This window comes from Homo sapiens, chromosome 7, assembly GCF_000001405.40.
Source record: "Homo sapiens chromosome 7, GRCh38.p14 Primary Assembly".
Classification (NCBI taxonomy): domain Eukaryota; kingdom Metazoa; phylum Chordata; class Mammalia; order Primates; family Hominidae; genus Homo; species Homo sapiens.
The window spans coordinates 87,738,215-87,765,543 of NC_000007.14; the positions used below are offsets into that span (position 1 = coordinate 87,738,215).

The 27,329-nt window shown below is 35.3% G+C and overlaps 1 protein-coding gene across 8 annotated transcripts in view, besides 3 other annotated features; it reads left to right on the top strand.

Annotated features, from left to right (window-relative positions):
* RUNDC3B (RUN domain containing 3B) overlaps positions 1-27,329 on the top strand; it is a 203,899-nt gene that overhangs the window by 109,817 nt on the left and 66,753 nt on the right. For 7 of the 8 annotated variants that reach the window (NM_001394228.1, NM_138290.3, NM_001394224.1 and 4 more), the window contains 2 exons: positions 1,577-1,666; positions 3,285-3,365. In NM_001394228.1, the coding sequence (NP_001381157.1) occupies positions 1,577-1,666; positions 3,285-3,365 (171 nt within the window). The remainder of the gene's footprint in view (positions 1-1,576; positions 1,667-3,284; positions 3,366-27,329) is intronic. The other variant, NM_001394225.1, reaches the window with a different exon arrangement.
* Positions 1,004-1,550: an enhancer, noted in NCBI's record as "NANOG hESC enhancer chr7:87368534-87369080 (GRCh37/hg19 assembly coordinates)". NCBI's record gives its function as "activates a minimal SCP1, AML or CMV promoter by ChIP-STARR-seq in naive H9 embryonic stem cells {active_cell/tissue: H9 hESC(naive)}" and the evidence as "EXISTENCE:reporter gene assay evidence [ECO:0000049][PMID:30033119]".
* Positions 9,138-9,727: an enhancer, noted in NCBI's record as "H3K27ac-H3K4me1 hESC enhancer chr7:87376668-87377257 (GRCh37/hg19 assembly coordinates)". NCBI's record gives its function as "activates a minimal SCP1, AML or CMV promoter by ChIP-STARR-seq in primed H9 embryonic stem cells {active_cell/tissue: H9 hESC(primed)}" and the evidence as "EXISTENCE:reporter gene assay evidence [ECO:0000049][PMID:30033119]".
* Positions 9,728-10,316: an enhancer, noted in NCBI's record as "H3K27ac-H3K4me1 hESC enhancer chr7:87377258-87377846 (GRCh37/hg19 assembly coordinates)". NCBI's record gives its function as "activates a minimal SCP1, AML or CMV promoter by ChIP-STARR-seq in primed H9 embryonic stem cells {active_cell/tissue: H9 hESC(primed)}" and the evidence as "EXISTENCE:reporter gene assay evidence [ECO:0000049][PMID:30033119]".

The window sequence follows — 27,329 nt, forward strand, 5'->3', positions numbered from 1 at the left end:
CCAGGGGTTAATAATATATTCTGCCAATAGCCAACTTAGTTATTGGACCAGGGACAAAGTCTCAAACATACATATTTGTCTAAATATTTTACCTTTCTGCAGGACACCTCAGTAGAATATGTAAAAAAATCCTTCCATTTATTTTACTAATTTTGTTAGGCCAGAAGTTTTCATTTTTCTCCTTTTATATAAATCAGTAAAAGCAATTTCAGTAGGTCCAAGAAAATAAAAAACATTTATTCCAAGCCAGTCTCCCCACTGTATTTGTTTGCAGCCTTACATCTGTCAGAGAGTAAATAGTTGACTATTTTTTCCATTTTGTACTTTTTATTCATTTAATATTCCTTATGAACCATACCATACATTAAGTTCTTTTAAAATATTTTTGTTTTACGAAACGTAGATTTAATAGAAGATATAGGACTTAAAGAAGAATTGGGTAGCCTTCTTAAGCAATTCATCTAACATGAGCTTGTGCAAATTGTTTTAAACTTTTCCTGATGGTAAATTTGAAACTAATGATTCCTTCTGCCTTTAATTTATGGGTTTTTTTGCAAGTATCAAGTAATATGTTTGTAAAAATACTTAGTAAGCTGTGAACAACAATTCAAAATTGATGGTAGGATTATGAGCATATTGAAATTTTTTGCAGAATTTATAAACTCAGAAATACTGAAAAGAGCAAGACCTTTGATTTACTAAAATGTTTCATTTTAGTTAATGGGGTGGTATAGAGTGGTGTTCACTCTCTTATATGTAATATAAATACTTATAGCAGTGTGATCATCCCTGGTTACTGATATAAACTAGATTTTACATAGTACTACGTTTTAAAAGAAGTAGATTAAATGATTTTACATTCATTTTTGGAAAAATACCTTAGGGCCACATAATGATTTTTCTTTCAAAAATATTTTAAAAACTAATGATAACTAAAATGTAAAGCTTTACAGGAATTAACAAAGATACATTCACATTCCCATTTTTGTCAAGGAGATATTGAATACTTTCTTTTTCATATGCAGCCACCTTGGTAGCCCATCTGCTTTATTAGGATTGCACTATTAAGGTTACCATAAATTACTAACAAGTATGCCTCCCAAATTCTTAACTTACTCAGTAATCTTTGCAATTATAGAAAAACAGAACTTAATTTTATCTTATTTATTAGAACTCAAGTCTACTTCATTTTGAAAATAGGTAAATACAGATGACTCTGAATTTGCCACCTTTCACTTTACATTTATATTGCTTCACTATTAAGGAAAAATGCTGGCACTCTAGACCCATTGAAAGACTCACTTGGGGGTTTCTTTTTAGGAGAGCTGGAAACAGAGAATTCTTTTTGTTATATTGGCAGGTTTTAGTTTCTTCAGGGATTTGTTGTTGTTGTTTTGTCTCTTTATTTTGGTCTAAATATCTTCAAAACTTCAGTGATGGAAATATGTTTTTTTTAAAAATACAAATTAAATAAAATTTAGCTCTTCCTACAATAGTTTGGGCTCTAAATGATTTCTCTCGATCAAACTTCCATTTATTTTTAATATTTTATATATTCACCCATTTCATTTTTTAGGAGATTTTATGAAGATGGAGCAATTGTCTTGGGTGAAGAAGCAAATATGCTTGCTGGCATGCTTCTAGGACTCAATGCTATTGATTTCAGGTACTTAACCAAATGCATTCAGTTTTTAAATTATTCTATATCTTAATAGTTTCTACTTATGATTTTTTTCTTTCAGTTGTCTAAGTAAAGCACACAGTTGGATATTGTTATTTGATTCATGTTGTTCTCTTTCAAATGACATCAGTTTGTTTTCTAAATGAGTTTGCTCTCAGAAAAGAGACTGCCTGAAACTTAATGAATTGATAGGCTTGCTCTGTAGCTTGGATAAAAAGAAAACTTAGACTATATCCCATTCCCCAACAGCCCCCTCCCTAATGAAGGAAGGCTTTGAATCTTATCTCTTAGTATTTTTCAGCTACTGCTTTAAAATTAAAAGAAATAGACTTAAAGTAGTTTCAAAGCCAGAAAGATTCTCATTATCTCACGTGTTGAGATAAGATCCTGAGAGGCTATCTTGGGTATCTTACGTCTCTTATGTTATGTATGGAGAATATTAAAAAAAAAAATTGTTAAAATTTACTTTTATTGTCAACAAGATGAACTGGTTCTACACTAAAATAACAAGTGCTAAAAATGGGCAATACAAGTTCTTTTTAGATTTATAGACACTTTTTTTGCATTTCTTTAATCGATCCCAGATTTTACATTATATTGAAAGTAAAAGGTTTGTCTATAAGAAAACTCAAACACAAGGAATGAAGGAAATATTATATTTTTATTGAAATATAACATTTGAAAATTCAGGAATATTAACAAAATAAGTATAAGACAAATGAAATTCTACTTTTGAGTCTTGATAAAAATAATGCTGTTCGTTTTCACTGAAGTTATCTTTTATAGTAAAGCACTTCCTTTTCTAAATATTTGTCACTTGACAAGTCTAACTTTATTAAAATTTAATAAGCTAGTATTAGGTTTAATTAGCTTAATTGTGGAGGATGAACATGATAGATGGAATGTGAAGGTTGTCTTTTTGATCCCTCTATGGATGTTAACTTTTTATATCACGTCACTAGCTCTGTCTAAATTTGTTACAGTCTTGTTTTGTTTGTTTGTTGTTTTATTGTTTTAAAAAAAACAAGGCCAGGCGCGGTGGCTTTCACCTGTAATCCCAACACTTTAGGAGGCTGAGGCGGGCAGATCACCTGAGGTCAGGAGTTCAAGACCAGCCTGGCCAACGTGGCGAAACCCTGTCTCTACTAAAAATACAAAAATTACCCAGGCATGGTAGTGGGTGCCTGTAATCCCAGCTACCCAGGAGGCTGAGGCAGGAGAATCGCTGGAACCCGGGAGGCAGAGGCTGCAGTGAGCCAAGATCATGCCACAGCACTCCAGCCTGGGTGACAGAGCAAGACTCCCTCTCAAAAAAAAAGAAAAAAAAAAACAAACAAAAAAACTGGGATTAAGAATGTTAACTGTTGGTTTAATGTAACCCATTGATAGTGTATTAATTTGTACAATGCCTTGTCATTGGTATTGAAGGTAGAATATTTTATTCAGGCGTTTATTTCTGACAAGTAACAATTAAATTGCAAACAAAAAAATTCGCTTGCCATTTGATGAGAGAAACGTCTCTGGCAAGAGATTTTTCATGAAACTTAACTTTGATTTAAAATTTTATATATTAATAGGAAATATTTATTTTCTATTGTCTTAGTTTCTGCCTAAAGGGAGAGGGGCTGGATGGCAGTTTTCCTGCTGTAATAGACTATACACCATATTTGAAGTATATCCAAAGGTATGTGACATTTTGAGATATGTTTTTTAAAATCTTATTTAAAATTGAATGTCTTGTGCAATGTTTGTCTGATCAAAACTACTTTGTACTAAATATTCGTTCCAATATCAGAAATCATTAAAGGGTACAAGCTTCAGTTGCATTTTTAGTATTTATTATTTAAAAAGCACACACCTTTTATGTAAATATACACTTTTTAACATAATTGTAATCCTAGCATCTAGTTTTTTAAAATAACAAAAACATTTATTCATATTGCTGTAGTCATTATAATAACTTTAATAGATCTGAAATAGTCTACTGAGATTTTGAAACTATAATTCAGTATTTAGATTGTTTTCCATTTTTTCTCATAAAAAAGGATAAATAACATTTTATGCATATCAATTTTCCTTTTGTTTTCATTGTAAATTGTCGGAGCTATCCAGATAAATTATCTGAAAAATCTGATGACTCTTAAAATATGTCTTTTAAAGAGTTGTAGCAATTTATTCTGTTACCAATACTGTGTGAGAATTCTGGATTTCCCACAATCTCATCAGCATTAAATAATAATTAATGACATCTATGTATGTTTCTAAGGTCTGCTTGAAAGATTATTTCCTGACTAGAATGATGATCTTTATATACTTCTTTATTTTTCCATAAATTATTGGGGTTCAGGTGGTATTTGATTACATGAGTAAGTTCTTCAGTGGTGATTTGTGAGATTTTGGAACACCCATCACCTGAGCAGTGTACACTGCACCATATTGTTGTCTGTTATCCCTCACCCCCTCCCACTCTTCCCCACAAGTCCCCAAAGTCCACAATATCATTCTTATGCCTTTGCGTCCTCATGGCTTAGCTCCCACGTATAAGTGAGAATATACGATGTTTGGTTTTCCATTCCTGAGTTACTTCACTTAGAATAATAGTCTCCAATCTCATCCAGGTCATCACAAATGCTGTTAATGCATTCCTTTTTATGGCTGCGTAGTATTCCATCATAGATAAATAGATAGATAGATAGATAGATAGATAGATAGATAGATAGATAGATATCATGGTTTTTTTAATTGAGAAAATGAGCTTTTATTTGTCTATAATTTATCATGCATTCTTGGAAAATATAAGCAAGAGATTAGCTGAAAGTAAAAAATCTGGGATGATTATTAAATCTAAAAACTACAGATAGTGTTAAGAATTCAAATTTTTCACCTTTCCCTCTCATCCCCAGGGTGGAATATAAGACGAAAATTTAGCGAACTAAGGCCGGGCACAGTGGCTCACACCTGTAATCCTAGCACTTTGGGAGGCCGAGGTGGGCGGATCACGAGGTCAGGAGATAGAGACCATCCGGGCTAACACGGTGAAACCCCGTCTCTACTAAAAATACAAAAAAATTAGCCAGGTGTGGTGGCACGCGCCTGTAGTCCCCACTACTCAGGAGGCTGAGGCAGGAGAATGGTGTGAACCTGGGAGGCGGAGGTTGCAGTGAGCTGAGATCATGCCACTGCACCCCAACCTGGGTGACAGAGCGAGATTCCGTCTCAAAAAAAAAAAAAAGGGAACTAAGGTAGTTACATACTGACAGTTCTCAAGGTGTCTTCAAAACAAATCTTCCTTGTATAACACAGTTTCTTTATCCACTTGATTGATGAGCATTTGGGTTGGTTCCACGATTTTGCAGTTGCGAATTGTGCTGCTATAAACATGCGTGTGCAAGTATCTTTTTCAAATAATAACTTATTTTCCTCTGGGCAGATACCCAGTGGTGGGATTGATGGATCAAATGGTAGTTCTACTTTTAGTTCCTTAAGGAATCTCCATGCTGTTTTCCATAGTGGCTGTACTAGTTTATATTACCACCAGCAGTGTAGAAGTGTTCCCTGTTTGCTGCATCCACACCAACATCTACTGTTTTTTGATTTTTTTTATTATGGCCATTCTTGCAGGAGTAAGGTGGTATCACATTGTTATTTGATTTGCATTTTGCTGATCATTAGTGATGTTGCGCATTTTCATATGTTTGTTGCCATTTGTATATCTTCTTTTGAGAATGGTCTATTCATGTCCGTAGCCCACTTTTTGATGGGATTGTTTGGTTTTTTTCATACTGATTTGTTTGAGTTGTTTGTAGATTCTGGATATTAGTCCTTTGTCAGATATATAGGTTGTGAAGATTTTCTCCTCCTCTGTGGGTTGTCTTACTCTGCTGACTGTTCCTTTTGCCGTGCAAAAGCTCTTTAGTTTAATTAGGTCCCAGCTATTTATCTTTGTTTTTGTTGCATTTGCTTTTGAGTTCATGGTCATGAAATCCTTGCCTAAGCCAATATCTAGAAGGGTTTTTCCAAAGTTATCTTGCAGAGTTTTTATAGTTTCAGGTCTTAGGTTTTAGTCCTTAATCCATCTTGAGTGATTTTTGTATAAGGTGAGAGATGAGGATCCAATTTCATTCTCCTTCATGTGGCTAGCCAGTTATCCCAGCATCATTTGTTGAAAAGGGTGTCCTTTCTCCACTTTATATTTCTGTTTGCTTTGTCGTAGATCAGTTGGCTGTAAGTATTTGGGTTTATTTCTGGGTTCTCTATTCTGTTCCACTGGTCTATGTGCCTATTTTAATACCAGTACCACACTGTTTTGGTGACTAGGGCCATATAGTATAGTTTGAAATCAGATAGGGTGATGTCTCCAAATTTGTTCTTTTTGCTTAGTCTTACTTTGGCTATGTGGGTTCTTTTTTGGTTCCATATGAATTTTAGAATTTTTTTTCTAATTCTATGAAGAATGGTGGTGGTATTTTGATGGGAATTGCATTGAGTTTGTAGATTGCTTTTGGTAGTATGGTCATTATTCACAATATTGATTCTACCCATCCATGAGCATGGGATGTGTTTCCATTTGTTCATGTAATCTGTGATTTCTTTCAGCAGTGTTTTGTAGTTTTCCTTGTAAAGGTCTTTCAACTCCTTGGTTGAATATATTCCTAAGTACTTACTTTTATTTTGTTTTTCAGCTATTGTAAAAGGGATTGAGTTCTTGATTTGATTCTCCACTTGGTTGCTGTTGGTATATAGAAGAGTTACTGATTTGTGTACATTAATATTGTATCTAGAACCTTTGCTGAATTCTTTTATCAATCATAGGAACTTTCTGGAGGAGTCCTCAGGGTTTTCAAGGTAAACGATCATATCATCAGCAAACAGTGACAGTTTGACTTTCTCTTTACCGATGTGGATGCTCTTTATTTCTTTCTCCTGATTGCTCTAGCTAGGACTTCCAGTACTATGTTGAAGAGGAGTGGTGAGAGTGGACATCTTTGTCCTGTTCCAGTTCTCAGAGGGAATGCTTTTAAGTTTTTCTCATTCAGTACTATGTTGGCTGTGGGTTTGTCATAGATGGCTTTTATTACATCAAGGTAGGTCCCTTGTATGCCGATTTTGCTGACATTTTTAATCATAAAGGGATGTGCTGGATTTTATTGAATGCTTTTTCTGCATCTATTGAGATGATCATGTGATTTGTGTTTTTAGTTCTGTTTATGTGGTGTACCACATTTATTGACTTGCATATGTTAAAGCATCCCTGCATCCCTGGTATGAAACCCACTTGATCATGATAGATTATCTTTTTGATATGTTGTTGGATTCAGTTAGCTAGTATTTTGTTAAGGATTTTAGCATCTATGTTCATCAAGAATATAGGTCTGTAGTTTTCTTTTTTGATTATGTCCTTTCCTGGTTTTGGTATGAGGGTGATGCTGGCTTCATAGAATGTATTAGGGAAGGTTCCTTCTTTCTCTATCTTATGGAATAATGTCAAAAGGATTGGTACCAATTCTTTGAATGTCTGGTAAAATTCTGTGAATCCATCTGGTCCTCAGCTTCTTTTTTGTTGGTAATTTTTTAATTATCATTTCAATATTCCTGCTTGTTATTGGTCTGTTCAGCGTATCTAATTCTTCCTGAAATAAGCTAGGAGGGTTGTATTTTTCCATGAATTTATCCATCTCATCTAGGTTTTCTAGTTTATATGCATAAAGGTGTTCATAGTAGCCTTGAACGATCTTTTGTTTTCAGTGGTGTCAGTTGTAATATCTCGTTTCATTTCTTAGTGAGGTTATTTTCTATTTTCTTTTCTTGGTTAATCTTGCTGATGGTCTATCAATTTTATTTATCTTTTCAAAGAACCAGCTTTTTGTTTCATTTATCTTTTGTATTTTTTTGTTTCAATTTCATTTAATTCTGCTCTGATCTTGGTGATTTTCTTTCTTCTGCTAGGTCTGTGTTTGATTTGTTCTTGTTTCTCTAGTGCCTTGAGGCATGACCTTAGAACGTCAGTTTGTACTCTTTCAGTCTTTTTGATATAGGTATTTAGGGCCATGAACTTTCCTTTTAGCACCGCCTTTGCTGTATCCGAGAGGTTTTGATAGGTTGTGTCATTATTGTTGTTCAGTTTGAAAAATTTTTTATTTCCATCATTATTTTGTTTTTGACTCAATGCTCATTAAGGAGCAGGTTATTTAATTTCCATGTACTTGCATGGTTTTGAAGGTTCCTTTTGCAATTGACTTCCAGTTTTATTCCAATGTAGTCTGAGAGAGTGCTTGATATAATTTCAATTTTCTTAAATTTATTGAGGTTCATTTTATGGCCTATCATATGGTCTATCTTGGAGAAAGTTCCATGTGCTGTGGGATAGAATGTGTATCCTGCAGATGTTGAATGAAATGTTCTGTATATATTTGTTAAGCCCATTTGCTCCAAGGTATAGTTTAAATCCATTGTTTCTTTGTTGACTTTCTGTCTTGATGACCTCTCTAGTGCTGTCAGTGGAGTAGTGAAGCCCACCCACCCACAGCAACTATTATTGTGTTGCTGTCTATCTCATTTCTTATGTCTATTAGTAATTGTTTTATACATTTGGGAGCTCCAGTGTTTGGTGCTTATACATTTAGGATTGTGATATTTTCCTGTTGGAAAAGGCCTTTTACTATTGTATAATGTACTTCTTTGTCTCTTTTACCTGCTGTTGCTTTAAAGCTTGTTTTGTCTGATATAAGAATAGCTACTCCTGCTCACTTTTGGTGTCCATTTGCATGAAATGCCTTTTTCCACCCCTTTACTTTAAGTTTATGTGAGTCCTTATGTGTTAGGTGAGTCTCCTGAAGGCAGAAGATGGTTGGTGAGTTCTTATCCATTGTGCAGTTCTGTATCATTTAAGTGGAGCTTTTAGGCCATTTACATTCAATGTCAGTATTGAAATGTGAGGTACCCTTGCATTCATTGTGCTCTTTGTTGCCTGTGTACTTTGGTTATTTGTTTGTTTTTTATTTTTGCTTTTTAACTTGTAATTTTCTCTGGTCCCTCCATGATTAGCGTAATGACTAACCTCCTGAATTCTTTTTCAGGTAAATCAGGGATTTCTTCTTGGTTTGGATCCATTGCTCATGAGCTAGTATGATTTTTTGGGTGTGTTGAAGAGGCTTGCTTTGTTATATTACCAGGGTTGGTTTTCTGGTTCCTTCTCATTTGGGTAGCCTCTGTCAGAGGGAAGGTCTAGGGCTGATGGCTGTTGTTCAGATTCTTTTGTCCCACGGGGTGTTCCCTTGATGTAGTACTCTCCCCCTTTTCCTATGGGTGTGTCTTCCTGTGAGCCTAGCTGTAGTGATTGTTGTCTCTCTTCTGGGTCTAGCCACTCAGTGAGTCTACTTGGCTCTTGGCTTCTACTGGGGGGGTGTGTGCACAGAGTCCTGTGATGTGAGCCATCTATGGGTCTCTCAGCCGTGGATACCAGCGCCTGTTCTGGCGGAGGTAGCAGGGGGGTGAGGGGTTGCAATGGACTCTGTGAGGGTTGTTAGCTTTGGTGGTTTAATGCTCTATTTTTGTGCTGATTGGCCTCTTGCCAGGAGGTGGCGCATTCCAGAGAGCATCAGCTGTGGTAGTATGGGGAGGAACCAGTGGTGGGCGGGACCCTAGAACTCCCAAGATTATATGCCCTTTGTCTTCCGCTGCCAGGGTGGGTAGGGAAGGACCATCAGGTGGGGGCAGGGCTAGGCGTGTCTGAGCTCAGACTCTCCTTGGGCGGGTCTTGCTATGGCTGCTGTTGGGGATAGGAGTGAGATTCCCAGGTCACTGGAGTTGTGTACCTAGGAGGATTATGGCTGCCTCTGCTGAGACCTGCAGATTGTCAGGGAAGTGGGGGAAAGCAGGCAGTCACAGGCTTCACCCAGCTCACATGCAAACCAAAAGGCCAGTCTCACTCCCACCATGCCCCTGCCAACAGCCCAAGTCTGTTTCCAGGCAGAGGGTGAGACAGGCTTGAAAACCTGCCACAGGCTACCCGCCTCCCAGGTGCAAAAGAAAAGAGCTTGGTTCTCCCCTGCCTGTGGAGTCTGCACACTGGATTTGCGCTCTTCCCCGAGTTCTGGCCAGGAGGCTTCTCACCTCGTTCAAATTTTTGCAGAGTTCAGCTAGAGATTTCCTTTTCCCTGTGGAGTTTTAGCCCCTGCTCCTCTGGCTGCCCTCCCTTTGGATCCCTGTGGTACAGGCAGGAATGGCCTTCTTGGGCACCCAGCGAGCTCCCAGGGCCTTTCTGCTGCTTCCCCTACCCCTGTATTTTGCTCGGCTCTCCAGATTGACTCAGCTCCTGGTAGAGTCAGAAACTTCTCCCACAAACAGACCTTCAGCTTCTCCAGTGGGGGTGTGTGTTTGGGAGAGGCGGGGTTCTCCCTTTCCCACTTCCGCAGTTGGGGCACCCACGGTATTTGGCAAGGGGGTCTTCCAGGTCCTGCAGGAGCAGTCCACTCCTTCAGAGGGTCTGTGGGTCCTCTCGGGATTGGTAGGCTTTTTCTTACAGTCGATCTGGAGCTAAAATTCACAATGCAAGCCTCCGCAGGCTGCTCTGTCTAGAGCTGACATCTAGTCCTGCTTTCTGTCCTCCATGATGATCTACAATCTTTATATACTTCTAAAATTTTATAATCATGGCAAAGCTATAAGCTATTCTGTATGTGTATAAAATATGTATATATGTCACACATACACACACACACATTCAAAATGCATTTATTGAGTGCCTAACCATAGGACAAAAATTTTCCTAGATGCCAGGGATACTTAGATGTCAAGAGTATAGGAACTTTATGAATTTCTAAAAAAGAACACAGTCCCCATTCTCAAGATAATTACCATCTAGTAAGAGAAGTCACTAATATTTCAAAGCTGAGGAGGGAAGGTATTTTGGATGGTGAGGGAAAAAGAAGAATAGAGTGTAATGACACCGTGATTTCTAATTTGGGTAAGTGGATTCCTTGGGAAAAGGGACAATTGTAGTACAATGTCTAGAAAAGAAATGCAGCAGGATGATGTTTTGAGCAGGCATAAAATTATACTGTTTTGGGATACGTTGGATTACTAGGCACCGCTGTCTGTATTTTACAAATGAGAAAACTGAAATGCGGAGAGGTTAAATAACTTGTCCTTAGTCACACAACTAGTTTAAGGCAGAGTGGGTAAAATACAAGTCTGGAATTAAAGAGCAAGATGTCATCTGGAGATAGAGTTTAGTAATCAATATGTAGGTAGTAAGGCTGTATTCAGTGATTTAGGAAATGACTTAAAATACAAAGAGATATGTATTCACACACACTAATTTTCCTCTCCTACTTACATGTAAGATACTGAAGTAATTATTACAGTGTTTTTGAAAGGTACAATAATGGAACTTTCTCATGATGTACCATCATAATTAAATTAGTAATATAGATCCTGCATAGCCACTTTTTGTCTGAATTTTTTTAATACAACTTTGTGATGCACTAATCCAAACATGTATATATACCTTCTTTATAAAATGAAGAATTTCTAACATCTTGTACAAAGGATGCTAAAATGAGAATAGAAATACCAATTCAACCTAGTCATAAGCCAGTTAGCATCACTAGTCATGGAGTTTTTATTTTTAGAAAAATTTAAACTATCTTAATTGTCATAAAGAACCAATACTTTACAAATCAAATCGCATCCACAGAAATATACCTGTATTAGACACATTTTTTAAAAATCTACTAGATTTCTAATTTTAAGAAAACATCAGTCCCTCCCCCCACATTGCTGCTTTTAATTTATTTAGGAAGTAATACATATTCATGGTAGAAAAATTATAAAATAAATAAAGATAGCGGAAAGTTTAAGTCGCTCCTTATCTTACCTTCAAGAAAAGCTGCTAGAAACATTCTTAACATTTTGATGGATGGCTTTTCAGCTTTTTCTATGCATAGATACAGTATTTTCTTTCTTTTTTTTTAATTTATTTTTATTTTTTTATTATTATACTTTAAGTTTTAGGGTACATGTGCACAATGTGCAGGTTACTTACATATGTATACATGTGCCATGCTGGTGTGCTGCACCCACTAACTCGTCATCTAGCATTAGGTATATCTCCCAATGCTATCCCTCCCCTCTCCCCCCACCCCACAACAGGTCCCAGAGTGTGATGTTCCCCTTCCTGTGTCCATGTGTTCTCATTGTTCAATTCCCACCTATGAGTGAGAATATGTGGTGTTTGGTTTTTTGTTCTTGCGATAGTTTACTGAGAATGATGATTTCCAATTTCATCCATGTCCCTACAAAGGACATGAACTTATCATTTTTTATGGCTTCATAGTATTCCATGGTGTATATGTGCCACATTTTCTTAATCCAGTCTATCATTGTTGGACATTTGGGTTGGTTCCAAGTCTTTGCTATTGTGAATAATGCCGCAATAAACATACGTGTGCATGTGTCTTTATAGCAGCATGATTTATAGTCCTTTGGGTATATACCCAGTAATGGGATGGCTGGGTCAAATGGTGTTTCTAGTTCTAGATCCCTGAGGAATCGCCACACTGACTTCCACAATGGTTGAACTAGTTTACAGTCCCACCAACAGTGTAAAAGTGTTCCTATTTCTCCACATCCTCTCCAGCGCCTGTTGTTTCCTGACTTTTTAATGATTGCCATTCTAAATGGTGTCAGATGGTATCTCATTGTGGTTTTGATTTGCATTTCTCTGATGGCCAGTGATGGTGAGCATTTTTTCATGTGTTTTTTGGCTGCATAAATGTCTTCTTTTGAGAAGTGTCTGTTCATGTCCTTCGCCCACTTTTTGATGGGGTTGTTTGTTTTTTTCTTGTAAATTTGTTGGAGTTCATTGTAGATTCTGGATATTAGCCCTTTGTCAGATGAGTAGGTTGCGAAAATTTTCTCCCATTTTGTAGGTTGCCTGTTCACTCTGATGGTAGTTTCTTTTGCTGTGCAGAAGCTCTTTAGTTTAATTAGATCTCATTTGTCAATTTTGGCTTTTGTTGCCATTGCTTTTGGTGTTTTAGACATGAAGTCCTTGCCCATGCCTATATCCTGAATGGTAAAGCCTAGGTTTTCTTCTAGGGTTTTTATAGTTTTAGGTCTAACGTTTAAGTCTTTAATCCCTCTTCAATTGATTTTTGTATAAGGTGTAAGGAAGGGATCCAGTTTCAGCTTTCTACATATGGCTAGCCAGTTTTCCCAGCACCATTTATTAAATAGGGAATCCTTTCCCCATTGCTTGTTTTTCTCAGGTTTGTTAAAGATCAGATGGTTGTAGATATGTGGCATTATTTCTGAGGGCTCTGTTCTGTTCCATTGATCTATATCTCTGTTTTGGTACCAGTACCATGCTGTTTTGGTTACTGTAGCCTTGTAGTATAGTTTGAAGTCAGGTAGTGTGATGCCTCCAGCTTTGTTCTTTTGGCTTAGGATTGACTTGGTGATGCGGGCTCTTTTTTTATTCCACATGAACTTTAAAGTAGTTTTTTCCAATTCTGTGAAGAAAGTCATTGGTAGCTTGATGGGGATGGCATTGAATCTGTAAATTACCTTGGGCAATATGGCCATTTTCACGATGTTGATTCTTCCTATCCATGAGCATGGAATGTTCTTCCATTTGCTTGTATCCTCTTTTATTTCCTTGAGCAGTGGTTTGTAGTTCTCCTTGAAGAGGTCTTTCACATCCCTTGTAAGTTGGATTCCTAGGTATTTTATTCTCTTTGAAGCAATTGTGAATGGGAGTTCACTCATGATTTGGCTCTCTGTTTGTCTGTTGGTGTATAAGAATGCTTGTGATTTTTGTACATTGATTTTGTATCCTGAGACTTTGCTGAAGTTGCTTATCAGCTTAAGGAGATTTTGGGCTGAGACAATGGGGTTTTCTAGACATACCATGTCATCTGCAAACAGGGACAATTTGACTTCCTCTTTTCCTAATTGAATACCCTTTATTTCCTTCTCCTGCCTAATTGCCCTGGCCAGAACTTCCAAAACTATGTTGAATAGGAGTGGTGAGAGAGGGCATCCCTGTCTTGTGCCAGTTTTCAAAGGGAATGCTTCCAGTTTTTGCCCATTCAGTATGATATTGGCTGTGGGTTTGTCGTAGATAGCTGTTATCATTTTGAAATATGTCCCATCAATACCTAATTTATTGAGAGTTTTTAGCATGAAGCGTTGTTGAATTTTGTCAAAGGCCTTTTCTGCATCTATTGAGATAATCATATGGTTTTTGTCTTTGTTTCTGTTTATATGCTGGATTACATTTATTGATTTGTGTATATGGAACCAGCCTTGCATCCCAGGGATGAAGCCCACTTGATCATGGTGGATAAGCTTTTTGATGTGCTGCTGGATTCTGTTTGCCAGTATTTTATTGAGGATTTTTGCATCAATGTTCATCAAGGATATTGGTCTAGAATTCTCTTTTTTGGTTGTGTCTCTGCCCAGCTTTGGTATCAGGATGATGCTGGCCTCATAAAATGAGTTAGGGAGGATTCCCTCTTTTTCTATTGATTGGAATAGTTTCAGAAGGAATGGTACCAGTTCCTCCATGTACCTCTGGTAGAATTCAGCTGTGAATCCATCTGGTCCTGGACTCTTTTTGGTTGGTAAGCTATTGATTATTGCCACAATTTCAGATCCTGTTATTGGTCTATTCAGAGATTCAACTTCTTCCTGGTTTAGTCTTGGGAGAGTGTATGTGTTGAGGAATTTATCCATTTCTTCTAAATTTTCTAGTTTATTTGCATAGAGGTGTTTGTAGTATTCTCTGATGGTAGTTTGTATTTCTGTGGGATTGGTAGTGATATCCCCTTTATCATTTTTTATTGCGTCTATTTGATTCTTCTCTCTTTTTTTCTTTATTAGTCTTGCTAGTGGTTTATCAGTTTTGTTGATCCTTTCAAAAAACCAGCTCCTGGATTCATTAATTTTTTGAAGAGTTTTTTGTGTCTCTATTTCCTTCAGTTCTGCTCTGATTTTAGTTATTTCTTGCCTTCTGCTAGCTTTTGAATGTGTTTGCTCTTGCTTTTCTAGTTCTTTTAATTGTGATGTTAGGGTGTCAATTTTGGATCTTTCCTGCTTTCTCTTGTGGTCATTTAGTGCTATAAATTTCCCTCTACACACTGCTTTGAATGTGTCCCAGAGATTCTGGTATGTTGTGTCTGTTCTCATTGGTTTGAAAGAACATCTTTATTTCTGCCTTCATTTCGTTATGTACCCAGTAGTCATTCAGGAGCAGGTTGTTCAGTTTCCATGTAGTTGAGCGGTTTTGAGTGAGATTCTTAATCCTGAGTTCTAGTTTGATTGCACTGTGGTCTGAGAGATAGTTTGTTATAATTTCTGTTCTTTTACATTTGCTGAGGAGAGCTTTACTTCCAAGTATGTGGTCAATTTTGGAATAGGTGTGGTATGGTGCTGAAAAAAATGTATATTCTGTTGATTTGGGGTGGAGAGTTCTGTAGATGTCTATTAGGTCCACTTGGTGCAGAGCTGAGTTCAATTCCTGGGTATCCTTGTTGACTTTCTGTCTCATTGATCTGTCTAATGTTGACAGTGGGGTGTTAAAATCTCCCGTTATTAATGTGTGGGAGTCTAAGTCTCTTTGTAGGTCACTCAGGACTTACTTTATGAATCTGGGTGCTCCTGCATTGGGTGCATATATATTTAGGATAGTTAGCTCTTCTTGTTGAATTGATCCCTTTACCGTTATGTAATGGCCTTCTTTGTAGTTGGCCAACAATAGTAGTTGTATCTTTATAGTTGCTTATACTGAAAACTTTGAAGTCATCCTTAAATTCTCTGCTATAACTCAAATAGGATCCATCAGCAAATTCTTTGTCAACTCCACCTCAATTTAAACCTGGAAATGTATGCTAGTCTCCATAGCTGTTCCTCTTACTCCTGTAACTTATTCTACATAGAGGAGCCAGAGTGATCCTTCTGAAATGTAAGATCATTTTTGTCACAGGTAGCGACTATCTGGGGCTGGTATCATGCAGTCAGTAAGAAGAATTTACCAAGACAGTTATATGTATATAAAGGCACATTTATTAAAGAAGGTATAAAAGTACATTCCAAGAAAGCAATAGGCAGGTCAGTGGGAGGGGAGCTGACTGCAAGAAGAAGAGTCTTGCTGGGGATTTTATAGAATGGTGCTTGTGCTGAAAAGGGCTTTGTGCAGTACTGATACTGAACTTTCCACCTCCAAATAACAGAATATACATTCTTCTCATCGCCACATGGCACATACTCTGAAACTGACCACATAATTGGACATAAAACAATCCTCAACAAATGCAAAAGAACCAAAATCATACCAAACACACTCTTGGACCACAGCACAACCAAAATAGAAGTCAAGACTCTGAAAATCACTCAAAACCATGAAATTATGTAGGAATTAAACAACATGCTCCTGATTGACTTTTGGGTAAATAATGAAATTAAGATGGAAATCATGAAGTTCTTTGAAACCAATGAGAACAAAGATACAACATACCAGAATCTGTGGGACAGAGCTAAGGCACTGTTAAGAAGGAAGTTCATACCACTAAATGTCCACATGAAAATGTAGGAAAGATCTCAAATTAACAACCTAATATCACAATGGAAAGAATTAAAGAAGCAAGAACAAATGCACCCCAAAGCTAGCAAAAGACAATAACCAAAATCAGAGCTAAACTGAAGGAAATCAAGACACACACAAAAAAATTCAAAACATCAACGAATCCAGGAGTTGGTTTTTTGAAAAAATAAGATAGTTAGGTTCCAAGCTAGACTAATAAAGAAGAAAAGAGAGAAGATCCCAATAAACACAATTAGAAATGACAAAGGGGATGTTACCATAGACCCCACAGAAACAAAAATAACTATGAATACCTCTATGCAGGCAAACTAGAAAACCTACAGGAGATAGATAAATTCTTTGACACACACACTTTCCCAAGACTGAAGCAGGAAGAAATTGATTACCTGAACAGAACAATAATGAGCTCTGAAATTGAATCAGTAATAAATAGCTTACCAACCAAAAAAAAAAAAAAAAAAGCCCAGAACCTGATGGATTCACAGCCAAATTATACCAGATATACAAGGAATAGCTGATACAATTTCTTTTTTTTTTTTTGAGACAGAGTCTCACTCTGTCACCCAGGCTGGAGTGCAGTGCAATGATCTCGGCTCACTGCAACTTCTGCCTCCCGGGTTCAAGTGATTCTCCTGCCTCAGCCTCCCGAGTAGCTGGGACTACAAGTGCACACCACCACACCTGGCTAATTTTTGTATTATTAGTAGATATGGGGTTTCATCATGTTGGCCAGGCTGGTCTCAAACTCCTGACCTTGTGATCCACCTACCTTGGCCTCCCAGAGTCCTGGGATTACAGGTGTGAGCCACCATGCCTGGCCAGCTGATACCATTTCTGATGAAACTATTCCAAAATATTGAGGAGGAAAGACTCCTCCCCAACTTATTCTATGAGGCCAGTATCATCCTGATACCAAAACCTGGCAGAGATAGAACAAAAAAGGAAAGCTTCAGGCCAGTATCCTTGATGAACATTATTACAAAAATCCTCAACAAAATACTGGCAAACTGAATCCAGCAGCACGTCAAAAAGCTAATCCACCATGATCAGTGCAAGGTTGGTTCAACATACGTAATCAATAAATGTGATTCATCACATAAACATAAATAAAGACAAAAACCAATGATTATCTAAATAGACACAGAAAAAGCTTTTGATAAAATTCAACACGCCTTTGCATTAAAAACTCTCAATAAACTACATATTGAAAGAACATTCTTCAAAATAATAAGAGCCATCTATGACAAACCTACAGCCAACATTATACTGAATGGGCAAAATCTGGAAGTATTCCCCTTGAAAACTGGCATAAGACAAGGTTGCTCTCTCTCACCACTTCTATTCAAAGTCGTATTGGAAGTCCTAGCCAGAGCAATCAGGCAAGAGAAAGAAATAAAGGGCATCTAAATAGGAAGATAGGGTATGGAGATAATTTACAAGAAGAGTAAAAAATTTAAAAAATATTGTCCTGTAAGAATGGAATTGGAGGAGGGTAGAGTGAGATAGGAGACTTATTTTTCATTTTAAGACTTACAGTCCTTTTTGGGATGCGGGGCAGGGCAGGGCAGGATTATAACTTGTAAAGATTTAGTCAGTTACATACATATTAAACACCTGAGATGTATTTCTTTTTTAATGAGAATTTTGGTATTTGTAAGTTTTACCAAATTAAGTATTAAGTCCTTGATTTTATGATATCCTTTTACTTCTTTCTTGGTTTTCTACTGAGCTCTCACTTTCTAGTATTTAGGGCATTGTTTTTAGGGAATCATGTAGAACAAGTGCTTTAATCTTTCTTTATTCATAGAAAGTCCTGTTAAGATATTTTTATTTATATAAATTTAATTTTGGAAAAAAGGCCAAAAAGTTAGAATATATTTGAGTTTTTATTAATCTAAGTGAATCATTATCTATAAAGATGATGTCAGGTTTTTTACCTTACTAATATTTTTTCATGTCCAATATAGCAAAATATTTATAATTTCAATGATAAAAGGTACCTAAATTCATTTAGATTATTATAGGCCTTTGGACTACATTTAAACCAGATTGGTAAGTTATGGCTTATTTTACTTATATATACTCCCTTAAAATATGAAAAATTTTTATATTCAAAAAGTAGTAGTCTGAATAAGTGAGAAGTGTAATAATTATTTTCTATATACCATATTCCATCAATTTTAAGATATACTTCTTTGTTTTACATTTCAATATTTCTGACAAATAATGTTGTGCCATAGTTTGTCAGCATTGTTTTTCCTTTCTTGGTGCATAAAGTAATTGTGCATCTTTTATTTGATTTTGTCCTGGAATTGATGAAATATGTTATATATGTTATGTGGAATATGCACTGTTTGAAGAAATCATAATAATTAGATAATACCCTCTCCCTCCTCATGGTCTCACCTCCAATCCCCAGACCATGACACTGAGCTTTGTCAAAAATTCTAACTGGATGTCCTGTTTAGATCTTTTAAACCTATTATTATTGTGAAGTACAACTCACAAAGAAAAATAGATAAAATATAAATGTATAGCATAAAAAATTTATGAAGTGTATACTGAGTAATCACCACTCTAAGTATAGATAAAGCAAACATAGTCAGCACCGTGAAAGGCCTGCTTTTATCACTTCAAAATCACAACCCCCCACGAGCTCCTGAGACATAGTTACTGTAATAATACATTTTTGGTAGTGACTTCATTGTTTTTTTATTTTACTCTAAGAATGTACCTTACCTCCTATATACTATAGTTATGCTTGATTTTTACTTTCTATAAATGGAAAAGTAGATCCACCAATAAACTATTAGAACTGATAAACAAGTTCAGTAAATTTGCAGGATACAAAATCAACATAGGAAAATCAGTAGCATTTCTATATGCCAACAGTGAACAATATGAAAAAGAAACAAGGAAAGCAATTCCATTTACAATAGCCACAAATAAAATTAAATACCTAAGAATTAACCAAAGAAGTAAGAGATCTCTACAATGAAAATTATAAAATACTGATGAAAGAAATTGAATACCAAAAAAAGGAAGGATATTTCATTTTCATTAATTGGAAAATTCAGTGTCCCATCACACCAAGCAATCTATAGACCCAATGTATTTGCTGTCAAAATACCAATGACATTCTTCACAGAAATAGAAAAAATTATACAAAATTATGTGGAACCACAAAAGACCCAGAATAGCCAAAGCTATCATGAACAAAAAGAAACAAAACTGGAAGAATCAAATCACCTGCAAATACTATAGAGCTATAGTAACCAAAGCAGCATGACACCAGCATAAAAATAGACATACAGACCAATGGAACAGAATAGAAATCCAGAAATAAATCCATGCATCTATAGTAAACTCATTTTCTAGAGAGGTCAAGAATATGCACTGGGGAAAGGACACTCTCTTCAATAAATGGTGCTGGGAAAACTGGATATTCGTATGCAAAAGGATGAAAGTAGACCTCAATCTCTCACCATATACAAAAACCAAATCAAAATGCATTAAAGACTTAAATTTAAGACTTGAGGCCAGTTGCAGTGGCTTATGCCTTTAATCTCAGCAATTTGGAAGCCAAGGCAGGAGGATCTTTTGAAGTCAGGAGTTTGAGACCAGCCTAGGCAACACAGTGAGATGCTGTCTGTACAAAAATCTTTCAAAAACTTAGCTGGACATGGTGTTGCACACCTGTAGTCCCAGCTACTTGGAAGGCCAAGGTGGGAGAATCACTTGAGCCCAGGAGTTCAAGGCTGCAGTGAGTCATGATTGTGCCACTGCATTCCAGCCTGAGCAACAAAGCAAAACCCAGACTCAAAAAAACAAAAGAAAACAAACAAACAAACAAAAACCGAACACCTGGAACTCTGAAAATACTACCAAAAACTGTGGATCATTGATTGGCCTGAGCAAAGATTTCCTGAGTAATACCTCAAAAGTACAGGCAACCAAAGCAAAAATGGACAAATGGGATTCCATCAAGTTGAAAAGCTTCTGCACAGCAAAGGAAGCAGTCAACATAGTGAAGAGACAACACACAGAGTGGGAGAATATATTTGCAAGCTATTCATCTGACAAGGGATTAATAACCAGAATATGTAAAGAGTTCAAACAACTCAATAGGAAAAAAAATCAAATAATCCAATTAAAAAGTGTGCAAAAGATCTAAATGGACATTTCTCAAGAGGAGACATACAAATGGTTAACAGGTACGTGAAAAAGTGTACAACGTCATTAATCAACAGAGAAATGCAAATCAAAACTACAATGAGATATCATCTCACTCTAGTTAAAATGTCCTTTATTCAAAAGACAGGCAATAATGAATGCTGGCAAGGGTATGGAGAAAGGGGAACCCTTTTACACTGCTGGTGGGAATGTAAATTAGTATAACCACTATGGAGAACAGTATGAAGGTTTCTCAAAACACTTAAAAAAGAACTACCATATGATCCAGCAATTCCACTGCTAGGTATATATCTAAAAGAAAGGAAATCAGTAAGTATATGAAAGAGATGTCTGCACTCTCATCTTTATTGCAGTACTATTCACAATAGCTAAGATGTGGGATCATACTAAGTATCCATGGATGGATGAATGGCTAAATAAAATGTGGTATATATACACAATGGAATATTATTCAGCCACAAAAAGAATGAAATCCTGTCATCTGCAACAACATGGATGGGCCTGGAGATTATATTATGTGAAATAAGCCAGGCATAGAAAGACAAATTTCCCATATTCTCATACGAGGGAGCTAAAAATTAAAATAGTTAAGCTCATGAAGATAGAGAATAGAATGATGGTTAGCACAGCCTGGAAAGGGTAGCAAGGGAAGGGAGAAAAGTCGGGATGATTAATGGGTATAAAAACATAGTTAGAATGAATAAGATCTAGTATTTGATAGCCCAATGGGTGACTGTAGTCAACAATAATTTATTGTATATTTTAAAATTACCAAAAGAGTGGAATTGGAATGTTCCTAACACAAAGAAATGACACATGTGGTTGGGCATGGTGGCTCATGCCTATAATCCCAGTACTTTGGGAGTCTGAGGCAGGGGGATCACTTGAGGCCAGGAGTTCAAGACCAGCTTGAGTAATATAGTGAGACTCTGTGACTACAAAAAAAATTAAAAATTAGCCAGATGTAGTGGTGTTTTCCTGTAGTCCTAGCTACTTGGGAGACTAAGGGGAGGGGATTGCTTAAGCTCAGGAGTTTGAGGCATGAGCTGTGGTCATGCCTTTGCTTTCTAGCCTGGGAAACAGAGTGAGATCCTGTATCAAAAAAAAAAAAAAGTCCTTGAGGTGATAGATACCTCAGTTACCCTTGTGTGATTATTACATATTAAATGCCTGTATCAAAACATCATATGTACCCCATAAATATATACCCCACCTGTTATGTACCCATAACCATTAAAAATTTAAAAAATTTAAAAGTTCAAATCGCTGAATTTTTTACATCAAAGCTCTGAAAGAAACTATAAATAAATAATTTGGTTTTAGATGTATTTCATTTGTGCAGTTTATAGTTGGGTTTTGTTCTGTGATACAGGGGTTTTTTTTTTTTCTTAATGGGTGTTTTTAGCCTATTCACACTTACTGATTCATAACATCAATTACCATAACTATAACTACAATGCCCACACATACCTAGTTCTTTAGTTGGTGTTATCCAATACAGTAGCCATTAGCCACATGTGGCATTCAGTACTTCAGATATAACTAGTGTGACTGAGGAACTGAATTTTTCATTTAAATTTAATTTTAATTAATTTAAACTTAAAAATTGATGCTACATTGTTTAGGGAAATTGAAGAAGATGTAAGTAAATAAAAAGATATACTTGTTAATGAATTGAAACACTTCATATTCTTAAGATGGCAATACTTCTGAATTGATCTGCAGATTCAATTCAGTTGCTATCAATATTCCAACATTCTTTTTTGTTTGTAGAAATGGACAAGCTAATCCCAAAATTTGTATGGAATTGCAAGGGACTCTAAATAGCCAAAACAATCTTGAAATACAAAATCAGAGGACTCATACATCCTAACTTCAGAATTTTCTACAAAGCTCCAGTAATCAAAACAATATGCTGCTAGCACAAGGATATACATACAAATCAACAGAATTAAATTAAAATTCTGGAAATAAACCCATACATTTGTGGTCAGTGGAGTTTTGAAAAGGGTACCAAAACCATTCAATGGATAAAGAATAGTGTTTTCACTAAATGATGCTGGGACAACTGACTATCCACATGCAAATGAGTGAATTTAGACCTTAACCTCATATGAAATGCAAAAATTAATTCAAAAATGGATCTAAGACCCACATGTAAGAGCTAACACAATAAAATCTTATAAGGAAACATAGGTGTAAATTTTTCATAACCCTGAGTTAGGCAATTGTTTTTTAATATGACACCAAAAATGTAAATAACAAAAGAAAAAATAGATAAATTGGACTTCATCAAAATTTAAAACTTGCATTATCAAAAGATACCATCAAAAAATGAAAGAGTGACCCAAAGACTGGGAGAAAATTTTTGCAAATCATACACAAAATCAGGGTCTAGTATTTAGAATACATAAAGAACTGCTACAACTTGGCAACACAAATATAAACAACCCGATTTTAAAATGGGCTAAGGACTTAAATAAACATTTCTCCAAGGAAGATGTACAGTGGCCCAGAAGCACATGAAATGATACTCAACATCATTAGTCATTAGGGAAATGCAAATTCAAACCACAGTAAGACACCACTTTATACTCACAAGGATAGCTATATCCAAAATCAACAAAACATAATAAGTATTGGTGAGGATGTGGAGAAGTTGCATTTCTGGTGGGAAAATGTAAAATGATGCAGTTGCTGTGGAAATAAGTTTGATAATTTCTCTAAGTTAAATACAGAATTACCACATGATTCTGAAATTCTTCTCCTAGATATCAATTCTCTTTCCACCCAAGATAACTGAAAACATGCGGTCAAACAGAAACTTTTACATGAATGTTCATTATTCTTAATAGCCAAAAGTGGACACAATGCAAGTGTTCACCAGTTGGTGAATAAATTTAAAATGTGATGTATCCATACAATGGAGTATTACTCAGCCTTAAAATGGGATGAAGCGTTGATACCTACCACAACATGGATAAACTTTGAAACCATTATAGGTGAAAGGCGTCAAACACAAAAGCCACATATTTTGTGATTCAGTTCCCCAAAAGTACACTTTGTGTTTTTGTTTCTTGTTCTCTTTTTGGTTTTCAGATTATTATGCCCTGGGGGAAAAGGGAGCATGGCAATTTATCACTATAAGAAGACCAGAATTTCTCCCACCATTCTTTGTTAACATGATATATTTCCCAGTTCTTTAACTATACATAAACAGTTTATGAAACAGACATAAAGGTGTATACAAGTATACAAATGAATAAATAAGATAATTCTAGGCATTCTTGTTTTGGGGCTTGATCTTAAAATATATTTTTGATGTTTCACCATTGAATATTGTATTTGCTCTGGGTTTTACTGGGGTATTTTGTTTTTGTTTTTAGTTATGAATACTCTGGTTAAGAATGTTTTCTTCTATTCTTAATGTGCTATGGGGTACTTTTTATAATTGGTTTCTTGTTTGTTTTTAAATCGTTAATGAGTCTTGTAAATGTATCACATGCTTTTTCTGCATCTATTAAAATTATTCATATAGTTTTTCTCCTTGTTCATGTGGTAAATTACATTAATAGAAATGTTTTATGGCCCTTACATCTCCTTGTTTTTCTGGAATAAACCTATTGTGAACAATAGTATATTATCTTAATCCCTTGTTGTATTCCATTTTAAATGCTTTGTTTACAGTTTTTACATCCATATGTGTATGAATTTTACATCTATATGTGTATGAATTTCAGTAAAGTCTATAAAATAGACTTTATTTTCCTTTCTTGTATTGTCTGCTTGAAAAATCAATGGTATATTGGTGACATCATCCTCTCCCCAAGAATTTGGGGATAATTTTCTCCTTGTAAACTGTAAGTCCATTTTGTATGATATTAAGATTCCCACCAGTTTTCTTTTGTTTAATATTTTTCTAGTATATTCTTATCTTTTTAAAACTGTATTTCATCTAATCTATCATGCCTTCCATTGTAAATGCATTTCAATTCAGAGACATTATGTAAGAAAATGGCATGACAGCAATAGTAAGATGTCATCAATTACAAGCTGTACTATGATTCCAGATATGTCAATATATTAAAAATATACACCAAGAATTTATGAAATACATTGTTTTCAACCTTTCTGTGTCCTTATGTCTTTAAGTATGTGTTTAAAAATGTTACTTAACTGGAATTAAAAAAAAACTACTCCGGCAGGCTTTGTCTTTTAACTGAAGTGCTTAAGATATTTACTGATATATTTGGAATGATATCTACTATTGCATTTTTTGCCTTCTACTTATCCTATGACTTTGCATTTCTTTTTATATCCTTTATTCTTTCTTGCCTTTTACAAATTTCTCTTTTCCCTCATTTTATTCCTCTACCAGTTTAAAAGTTATGCACATAACTTTTCTTCTATGATACCCCATTAATTTTAATATGCAGATTTAAAATTTAACAAAGTTGAAGGTTAATGTCTTTACCACCCATCCAAGTAAATGAGAATCTTGCATTGCTTTGCCTCTAAATTTTTCCTTTTTGACATATGCTTTTGATGTCCCGAATTTTACATTTGTCATTGATTTATTTAAAAATTTCTAAAGTAGGCATAATTGTTACTGTTTTATACTCTCAATATTTGTTTAGGTTTACCCATAAGTTTACCATTCTCTTTGTGTACCTTCTTGCAAAACAACCTTCCTTATTAGGTCATTTTACTTTTTCTTATATTATAACCATCAGAAGTTGTTTTAGTGGGGATTTGTTGGCACATCTCTAACGTTTTAGTTTTCTGAAAATATGCTTATCTCATCCTCTTTTTAGGAAGATAATTTTGCTGGATATGTGTCCTTGTATGACAGGGGTTTTTTAGTATTTTGAAAATATTTAATAAATATTACACTTTTTTCTGTCTATCTTCCATTTTACAAGTTCTTTCTTCAATTGTATCTGATTTTTAGGCAATCCATTTATTTTTATTGTGAAATACATTTAATTTTTAAAGTTCTGTTTGGCTGTTTTCAAAGCTGGAACTTTATTATCAGCCATTAATTTTTTTCTGTTTTATCCAAAACCATGGTATGACAGGCAAATATTCTTTGCTATTTGTTTGTTTATTGGTTTGTTTTCTAGATCCCTGACTAAGAACATCTTGTTGGTCAGACTTTTCTTTTGGCAGAGGTATCTGTTTCAAATTTGCAACATGCGTAGATGCCATAGTCAGGAGCCCAACAGATGAAAACACAGATCACAGAGGATGAAATATATAATGTCTGTCTTTGTGTTTATGATATTTTTCAACATTACATCTATGAAATTATAATTTCTGACCTTGATTTCTTTAGTTCATGTCTTTCTGGTATTTTCTCTCTCTTCAGTTTTACCTGTTTGGTATTTATTTGTGTCCTTTTTAAGTGTAAAAAATTTTATTAGCACATTTAATTTAAGCAACATTCAACAAAGACAATAGTCAAAGATTACTTTATGTAAATTTAAAGACCAAACTGATATTTTTTGAAGGACTTCATAGTATCTGTGGTAAGACATGTGTAAGACTTGCTCCTTACATTCATTTTCAGTCTTCTGAGTTGACAGTTATACTGGGTCTAGTCTTTTACTATTTTGGTAATTTAACATGCTTATTTAATTTAAAGTATCAAATCAATAGCTTTATTAGCTTAATTAACTTTAAGTCTCAAATAAATATCTTTATTCTTGAATGAGCTCTTTTGAAAAAATATTAGACTGAGGCAGGTACATGTACAGGTTTGTTAGTTGGATATATTGCTTAATGGTGAGCTTTGGGCTTCTAGTGTAACCATCTCAAATAGTGAACATTGTACCCAATAGGTAATTATATGACCTTTGTCCCCTCCTCAGTCTCCCCACTTTTAGAGTCCCTAGTGTTTATTATTTCCATCTTTATGTCCATGTTTACCCATGTGAGAATATGTAGTATTTGATTTTCTGTTTCTGAGCTATCTCACTTAGGATAATTGGCTTCCAGGTCCATTCATGTTGCTGAAACAGGACACAATTAATTTCATTCTTCTTTATGGCTAAATGGTATTCCACCATGTATATATACACCACATTTTCTTTATTCAGTATTTTATTGATGAATACTTAGGTTGATTTGATACATTTGCTATTGTGAATAGTGCTGTGATAAACATACAAGGGAGAGTGTCTTTTTGATACAACGATTAATTTTCCTTTGGGTAGGAAATCCCAATTCATCTGGTCCTATGCTCTTTTTTGTTGGGAGATTTTTTTTAATTACTGGTTCATTTTAATTACTTTTTATTGGTCTGTTCAGGATTTCTGTTTCTTCCTGGTTCAATCTTGGGAAGTGTAGGTTTCAGAAATTTTTTTTCTAGGTTTTCTAGTTTGTGCACATAAAGAGGCTCATAAAAATCTTTGATAATCTTTTGTATTTCTGCAATATCAGCTGTAATGTAACCGTTATTTCTGATTGTGCTTATTTTAATTTTCTCTTGTTTTTTCCATTGTTAATATAGCTAGTGGTCTATTAATTTTTTTAACCTTTCAAAAAACCAACTTTTCATTTAACTGATCCTTTGGGTTGATTTTTTTTTGTCTCAGTTTCATTCAGTTCTGCTCTGATGTTTGTTATTTCTGTCTTCTGCTACTTTTGAGTATGGTTTGTCCTCGTTTTTCTAGTTCCTTGAAGTGTAACATTTGGTTGCTAATTTGAGATCTTTCTATCTTTTTGATGTTGGCATTTAGTGCTATAAACTTTCCTCTTAGCCCTGTTTTTGCCATATCCCAGAGGTTTTGGTATATTATGTCTCTTTTCATTTGTTTCAAAAAGAATGTTGGATTTCTGCCTTATTTT